The sequence below is a fragment of the Homo sapiens genome, chromosome 10 (assembly GCF_000001405.40).
Source record: "Homo sapiens chromosome 10, GRCh38.p14 Primary Assembly".
Classification (NCBI taxonomy): Eukaryota; Metazoa; Chordata; class Mammalia; order Primates; family Hominidae; genus Homo; species Homo sapiens.
In genome coordinates, this window is record NC_000010.11 from 20,368,312 (window position 1) to 20,377,137 (window position 8,826).

At 36.9% G+C, this 8,826-nt stretch overlaps 2 annotated features.

Moving 5' to 3' along the window:
• Nucleotides 2,323–2,967: an enhancer, noted in NCBI's record as "OCT4-NANOG-H3K27ac hESC enhancer chr10:20659563-20660207 (GRCh37/hg19 assembly coordinates)". NCBI's record gives its function as "activates a minimal SCP1, AML or CMV promoter by ChIP-STARR-seq in naive and primed H9 embryonic stem cells {active_cell/tissue: H9 hESC(naive and primed)}" and the evidence as "EXISTENCE:reporter gene assay evidence [ECO:0000049][PMID:30033119]".
• Nucleotides 4,246–4,867: an enhancer, noted in NCBI's record as "OCT4-NANOG hESC enhancer chr10:20661486-20662107 (GRCh37/hg19 assembly coordinates)". NCBI's record gives its function as "activates a minimal SCP1, AML or CMV promoter by ChIP-STARR-seq in naive H9 embryonic stem cells {active_cell/tissue: H9 hESC(naive)}" and the evidence as "EXISTENCE:reporter gene assay evidence [ECO:0000049][PMID:30033119]".

Below are 8,826 nucleotides of genomic sequence, written 5' to 3' on the forward strand. Positions count from 1 at the left end.
GAATAGCCACTCCTGCTCACTTTTGGTGCCCATTTGCATAAAATGCCTTTTTCCACCCCTTTAAGTTTATGTGAGTCCTTATGTATTAGGTGAGTCTCTTGAAGGCAGCAGGTAGTTTGTTGGTGAATTCTTATCCATTCTGCAGTTCTGTATCTTTTAAGTGGAGCATTTAGGTCATTTATATTCAATATTAGTATTGAGATGTGAGGTACCATTCCATTCATCATGTTATTTGTTGCCTGTATACCTTGTTTTTCATTTTTGTTTTTGCTTTTTAAATTGTATTTTTGTTTTATAGGTCCTGTGAGATTTATGTTTTTAAAGGGCTCTGTTTTGATGTGTTTCCAGGATTTGTTTCAAGATTTAGAGCTCCTTTTAGCAGTTCCTGTAGCAGTGGTTTGGTAGTGGTGAATTCTCTCAGCATTTGTTTGTCTGAAAGAGACTGTATCTTTCCTTCATACATGATGCTTAGTTTCACTGGACATAAAATTCTTGGCTGATGATTGTTTTGTTTGAGGAGGCTGAAGATAGGGCCCCATCCCTTCTAGCTTGTACGGTTTCTGCTAAGAAATCTGCTGTTAATCTGATAGGTTTTCCTTTATGAGTTACCTGGTGCTTCTGTCTCATAGCTCTCAAGATTCTTTCCTTTGTCTTAACTTTAGATAACCTGATGACACACAATAATCTTTTTTTGATGAATTTCCCAGATGTTCTTTGTGTTTCTTGTATTTGAATGTCTAAGTCTCTAGCAAGGCTGGGGAAGTTTTCCCTGATTATTCCCTCAAATATGTTTTCCAAACTTTTAGATTTCTCTTCTTCCTCAGGAACACCAATTATTCTTAGGTTTGGTCATTTAACATAATCTCAGACTTCTTGGAGGCTTTGTTCATATTTCTTATTCTTTTTTCCTTGTCTTTGTTGGATTGGGTTAATTCAAAGACATTGCCTTAGAGATCTGAATTTCTTTCTTCTACTTGTTCAATTCTATTGCTGAGACTTTTCAGGGCATTTTTCATTTCTACAAATGTGTCTAATGTTTCCTAAAGTTTTGACTGTTTTTCTTTATGCCATCAATTTTCTTGAATATTTCTCCCTACACTTCTTGTATCATATTTTGGATTTCCTTGCATTGGGCTTCACCTTTCTCTGGTGCCTCCCTGATTAGCTTAATAACTAGCCTCCTGAATTCTTTTTTCAGGTAAATTGGGGGTTTCTTCTTGGTTTAGATCCATTGGTGGTGAGCTAGTGTGATTTTTTTGGGGGGGATGTTAAAGAGCCTTGTTTTGTCATATTACCAGAGTTGGTTTTTTGGTTTCTTCTCATTTGGGTAGGCTCTGTCAGAAGGAAGGTCTAGAGCTGAAGGTTGTTGTTCAGATTCTTTTGTACCACAGGGTGTTCCCTTGATGTAGTACTGTTCCCCTTTTCCCATGGATGTGACTTTCTGAGAGCCAAGCTGTAGAGATTGTTATCTCTCTTCTGGGTCTAGCCACCCAGCAAGTCTACCAGGCTCTGGGCTGTTACTGGGGGTTGTCTGCACAGAGTCCTGTGAGGTGAACCATTTATGCATCTCTCAGCTGTGGATACCAACATCTTTTCCAATGGAGGGGGCAGGGGGCTGAAATGAACTCTGTGAGGATTCTTAGCTTTGGTGGTTTAATGCTCTATTTTTGTGCTTGTTGGCCTCCTGCCAGGTGGCGGCGCTTTCCGGAGAGCATCAGCTGTGGTAACATGGAGAGAAACCAGAGAGTGGGTGGGGCTTTAGAACTTCCAAGACAGAGGCTCTGGAAGCCTCTGTCTTCAGCTACCAGAGTGGGTAGGGAAGGACCATCAAGTGGGGGCAGGGCTAGGTGTGTCTGAGCTCAGACTCTCCTTGGGTGAGTCTTGCTGTGGCTGCTGTGGGGGAGGGGGGGGTGAGGTTCCCAGGTGAATAGAGTTGTGTACCTAGGAGGATAATGGCTGCCTCTGCTGAGTCATGCAGGTTGTTAGGGAAGTGAGGGAAAGCTGGCAGTCACAGGCCTCACCCAGCTCCCATGCAATCCAAATGGCCAGTCTCACTCTCACCATGCCCCCTCTAAAGCATTGAGTCTGTTTCCAAGCAGTGGGTAAGCAGGGGTGAGAACTTGCCGCAGGCTACCCACCTCCCAGCTGTGAAAGAAAAGGGCTTTCGTTCTTCCCCCACCTGTGGAGTCTACACGCTGGATTTGTGCCCTCCCTTGAGTTCTGGCCAGGAGGCTTCTCCACCTGTTCAAATTGTTATAAAGTTCAGCTGGAGACTTCCTTCTCTCCGTGGCATTTTCCTCATGCCTCTGGCCACCCTCCCAAAGGATCCCTGTGAGGCCAGGCAGGAATGGCCTGCTTGGGGACCCAGCAAGCTTCTAGGGCCTTTGCTGCTGCTTCCTCTACCCCTGTATTTCGCTCGGCTCTCTAAATGGACTCAGCTCCAGGTAAGGTCAGGAACTTCTCCTGCAAACTAGATCTTCTGTGTCCGTAGTGGGGGTGTTTGTTCAGGGGCAAATGATCTCCCTTTCCCACTTTCATGCGCGTCCGTGTGAAGAGACCACCAAACAGACTTTGTGTGAGCAACATAGCTGTTTATTTCACCTGGATGCAGGCGGGCTGAGTCCGAAAAGAGTCAGCGAAGGGAGATAAGGGTGGGACGATTTTATATGATTTGGGTAGATAAAGGAAAATTACAGTCAAAGGGGGTTTGTTCTCTGGCAGGCAGGAGTGGGGGTTGCAAGGTGCTCAGTGGGGGTGCTTTCTGAGCCAGGATGAGCCAGGAAAAGGACTTTCACAAGGTAATGTCATCACTTAAGGCAAGGACCGGCCATTTACGCTTCTTTTGTGGTGGAATGTCATCAGTTAAGGTGGGGCAGGGCATATTCATGTCTTTTGTGATTCTTCAGTTACTTCAGGCCATCTGGGCGTATACATGCAAGTCACAGGGGATGCCATGGCTTGGCTTGGGCTCAGAGGCCTGACACCCACTTCCTCAGTTTGGGCACTCACAGTATTTGGGGTGTCTCCTGGGTCCTGCAGGAGCAGTCTGCTTCCTTCAGAGGGTTGGTGGGTCCTCTCAGGATTCCTGATTTATTCCTGTAGTCGTTTGGGAGCTCAAATTCGTGATGTGAGCCTCCGCACACTGTTCTGTCTGTCCGAGTCAGAGCTGCAATCCAGTTCTGCCTCCTGTCAGCCATGATGATCACCTTTAATTTTTTTCTAATATGAATAACCAGTTCTGCTAGAACTATTTTCTAAAAAGTCCATCATATCTTGCTGATATGTAATACTAAATCTGTTATATATCAATCTCCCATAGATTTGAGGGTCTATTTTTGAACGAATTCTGTATCTTTTATTTATCGTTAATGTCAATATCTTTTAATTATCTTGGATTACAGTAAGTCTTAACTTATTGTAGGGCATATGTTTCCACCCTATTCTTAAATATCTTGGATATTTTCCATTCTTTAGTCTTCTGTATTAATTTTATAAGTTGTTTATATTCTTGGGAGAAATTTAAAAGAAAAATCAATTTGCCAGTGATTGAAATGACATGATTTTTATTTTAAGTTAGAAGGAATAGGTATTTTTATACCATTGAGTATTTTATCATAAATATTTTTATCTCTTTTATCTACTTATTTAATGGTTTGTTCATTTATTTCTATATACTGAAAACTTTGTTGCTTTCTTTTATCTACTTAGTTTTTTGTTCATTTATTCCTATATACTGAGAACTTTTGTTGTTTTTTGGTTTTTTCTGTGGTATTCATTAGAGCAATATTGGAGCTTTTAATATTTCCATATTAACTGTGTGTTCTGAATTCTATTTTTAGTAAAATAAAAATTGTCTTCTGTTCTACATTCTTTGTTTTTAGGTCTACTGTACTAGCTAAAACCTAGAAAAATAAATTGAATAGAAATGGTGACGACAAGTATCCTTGTCTTATTTTTGGTTTAGCTTTAAAGAACTTCCAGTGTTTTACTATTAAATATTATGTGTACTACAGATTTTTGGCAAATACCCTCTAGCAGACTAAGAAAGTTTCCTTTTATTCCCAGTTAGCTAGATGGATTTTATATTTTGCTTTGTTTTAATTATATATTGCTATTGAATTTTCAAATGCTTTTTTTTTGGAATCTATATAATCACATAAATTTTTATCTTTAAAATGTTAATGTGGTATGTTAATGTGGTATGCTACTTTAATACACTTGTACTGGGAAATATATAGAGGTATAAAAAAATAGAGAAGTGCTTGGTCATATGTCTGACACATGCATATCGACAAATCTGTTCCCCCCAAAGATGGGCTTTTTCTGGGTTTGGTGTCACTGAAGCCTATATACAAAGCTGAAAGGGAGCATCAACTAGTGAGGACTTGATTCCATGGCTACATAATTGAAAGGCAGGAACCTGGCTCAGAAATCAACTTTAGGACAAGTGAGGAGTGAGAGGGCAAAAATATAGGCTCTCTCTAATGAAGGGGTTGGCCATTAAAAATGAGGTGAGGAATATTCATGTCTTTTCCAGAAATGAGTGGTGAACTTGAGTGCCACCTTCCTTTTGTCCTTTAATGGCTTCTTCTGGTCATTGTCATGGTGATTGTAAACTGTCATGGTGATGGTCAACTGTCATGGCACTAGTGGGAGTGTCATTTAGCATGAGAATGAGATTATAATGAAACCTGAGCTCTTTTTGAAGTTGTTAAGTCCTTTGATTAGCTACCATGATTCTAACCAGTCTCAGGTGGTCTGGTTATAAGTAGAACTTTGTCACAGGCATCCTGTTTCTTTTCTTTTTTTTTCTTTTTGAGATGAACTTTCACTCTTGTTGCCCAGGCTGGAGTGCAATGGTGCAATCTCGGCTCACCGTAACCTCCACCTCCAGGGTTCAAGCGATTCTCCTGTCTCAGTCTCCCTAGTAGTTGGGATTACAGGCATATGCCACCATGCCCGGCTAACTTTTTTTTGTATTTTTTGTATTTTTAGTAGAGACAGGGTTTCTCCATGTTGGTCAGGCTGGTCCCGAACTCCCGACCTCAGGTGATCTGCCCACCTTGGCCTCCCAAAGTGCTGGGGTTACAGGTGTAAGCCACCGTGCCTAGTCCCTGTTTCTTAAAGAAGTTAGGATGGGGTAGAATTCAGCTAGGTCATATAGGCTGGTTAACATGAGGGGTGTCTTTGGGAAGTAGACATAGAAATAAAATTCCTGGACAAAAGGTATGAGTATCTATGAAGTTACTATTTAATGCAAAATTGTTCTTTCAATTAATTGTTTCATCGTCCCCTAACCCCTGCCCACTCCAGTCCCCAATCAGTATATTAGAATTGCCATGTTTCCATATTTTCTCTAATACTTCATCTTCTGAGACATTTTGATTATTGCCCATTATACTAGTGTGAACTAATATCTACTTGCTGGATACATTTACATTCTGCTGATTTTCACTTATTCATTTTCATATGCTTATTGGAATTAAAATACTTCTATTAACAAAGAATTCTTAAATTTCTAAAATAAAATCTACGTATTTTATGATAGATTTTATTTAGACTATTTGGATGCAATTGGCCAGTATTTAAGATTTTTATATCTCTATTTATGTAATATTAAACTATAAATTTTCTTTCTTATACCCTCTTTTGTCAAATTTCGGGATTAAAGGTTGCCATAGCATTAATAAACAGTTGTGAAAAATTCCTACTTTTTCTATTTTATGAAATAATTTCTTTAATATATGGATTATTTGTAAGCAAATTTTGGTAAGCTCTTCTGTAATACTATTTGGGCATGGTAACATTTTGTGGGTGTATTTTGGCTACTGATTCAAGTTTCATAAATGAATATAGACTTATTTGTGCTTTCAATTTCTTCTTAGGTAACTTCTATGAATTAATATTTTCCTAGAAACAATAATTTTATCCAAGTTTTCACATCTGTTGGCGTAAAATTAGTCATGGTAATCTCTCGTATGTTTACATATTTTCTATTAGCTATACTGCTTGTCCCTTGCTCATTATCTTGATTGTTTTTATCAATCTGCCCATAGATTATTCATCACATCAGATTTTTCAGAACCAAGACATTGGTTGTGTTATTTCTATATTCCTTGGTTTTATATCTCATTAAAATTTGCTTTTATTTATTACTTTCTTCCTTTTACTCTCTTTGGACTTACTCTGCGTGTTAGTCTGTTTTCACACTGTTGATAAAGACATATGCGAGACTGGGTAATTTTTACAGGGAAAAGGTTCCATGTGGCTAGGGAGGCCTCACAATCATGTTGGAAGGCAGACAGGAGCATGTCACATCTTACATGGATGGCAGCAGGCAAAAAGAGCGAGCTTGTGCAGGGAAACTCCCCCTTATAAAACTATCAAATCTTGTGAGACTTATTCACTATCATGAGAACAGCATAGGAAGGACATGCCCCTATGATTTGATTGCCTCCCTCTGGGTTCCTGCCACAACATATGGGAATTGAAGATGAGTTTTTGGTTAGGGACACAGCCAAACCATATCACACTGTGATTTTTTTTTGAGTAAAAGTTTGTTCATTAATTTAAATTATTTTATTCTCTAACATATGCATTGGAGGATATAAGCGTAGTTCTATCTAACTTAAACTGCATTTCATAATTTTTAATAGCTTTATTAAGGTATAATTAACATACAATAAATTGTAATATTAATGTGTAAATATTACACGTTAAATATTATGAAATGATCATTTCTGTCCCCAATTTCCAGCAATCAATCATCTACTTTCTGTCACTATACATAAGTTTATATTACCTGGAACTCTACAGTATATCTCCCTTTTTTGTCTGGCTTTGTTCACTCAGCATAATTTTTTAGAGTTAGTCATGTTGTTGTGTAGATCAATGGTTCATTTCTTTTTGTTCCAGAGTAACATTCCATTAGAGAGATATACAACATTTTTTAAAATCATAAACCTGTTGATGAACATTTGGACTATTTATAATTTTTGGCTATTACTAATAGTGCTGCTGTCAATATTTGTGTACAAGTTTTTCTATGGACATACAGTGTCATTTCTCTTGAGTAAATACCTAGGAGTGAAATGGATAAATCATGTCAGATTTATAATTTACAATTGTACAATTGCTTTCCAAAGTAGCTTGGTTATTACCAATTTACATTTTGACCACCAGCATATGAGAACTCCAGTTCTTCTGCATTCTTGCCAACACTTTATTTAAACTTTTTAAATGTAGCTGTTTTCATGGATGTCTTATAATATCTCATAAGGATAAAATTTGCATTTCACTAATGAATAATGAATAATGTCGAACATCTTTTTAACCATCTGTCTAGCTTCTTTGGTGAAGTGTGTGTGTTCAAATGTTTTGTCTATTTTTTAGTTGTTTTTTTTCTTACTCTTGAGCTTTGGGAGTTTTCATGTATTGTAGATATAAGTCTTTTATCAGATATATACTTTGTAAATCTTTTCTCCCAATATGTGATTCATCCTGTCTTCTTTACATTGTATTTAGAAAACCAAGTTTTAAATTTTGATATCTAATTTATTGATATTTTTATTTTATGGATTATGCTCTTGGTGTTATAGCTAAGAAGTCTTTGCCTAATACAAAACCACAAAGCTTTTCTCCTGCACTTCCAGAATTTTATAGATTCAGGTTTTATATTTAGTAATATATCAAAAACATATCATATATTATAAAGATATACTACATATCATAATGCATCATACATTATGAAATGTATGGCACAATAAAAAGAAAATGTGTAATATATTTAAACAGCGTAAAGAATGAACAAAAACACCTATATGCCCATAAACCAGTGTCTAAAGGAGAACATTACAACGCGTATTCCTCTCTAATCTCAGCTCTTCTGCACATATCACTAGATGACACTTTCTTTTGTTGTTTAATGCTTAGGTCCCTAGCAACATATTGCCTTTATTGTTGCCCCTCCTTATCATTTGTAAAAATATAATCAAACTGCATTCCTGAGTTGCTTTTCTTGTTTAATATTGTGTTTTGGAAATTCATCCAAGGTGGTTGGAGAATATTAATTTTTATGTCTATTATTATATATGTTTACTGTGTATTTATGCAACCTACCATTGCTGACTTTTGATATTTTAAGGCTTTTATTTTATACAATGTTGAAATAAATATTTTTATGTTATGTCCTCTTGGACATTATATGGTAATACCTTTTCAATATTTATGTCATTTTATATACATATACATATATAATGTATACCACAATATATATTCACCTTTATTAGATAATGCTAAATAGTTTCCAAAGTAGTTATAACAAATTACACTCACACCAGCAATGTATGAGACTTTCATTCTTAAACATACTACCATCAGTTAGTATTACAGGGCCTTTTCATTTTTAGCAACCTGGCTGGTATGTAGTCATATCTTATTGTTATATTAATTTCACTTGCCTGATGATTAATAAAATTATGTCTTCTAATATGTTTATTAGACACTTGTGTTTCCTTCTTTTTTTCAATACAAGCACCTAAGAGATATTGCAGCATTAATTCCAGACCACTACAATAAAGCAAGTATCACCATAAACCAAGTCAAACAAATTTTCGGGTTTCCCAGCAAATACAGAAGTTATATTTACACTATACTGTACTTTATTAAGTGTGCTATAGCACTGTGTCTTTTAAAAAATAAACACTTTAATTTAAAAATACTTCATCGCTAAAAAATGCTAACAATCATCTGAGCCTTCGGCGAGACTCATCTTTTTCTGGTGGAGGGCCTTGCCTTGATGTTAATGACTGCACACTGGTGAGGGTG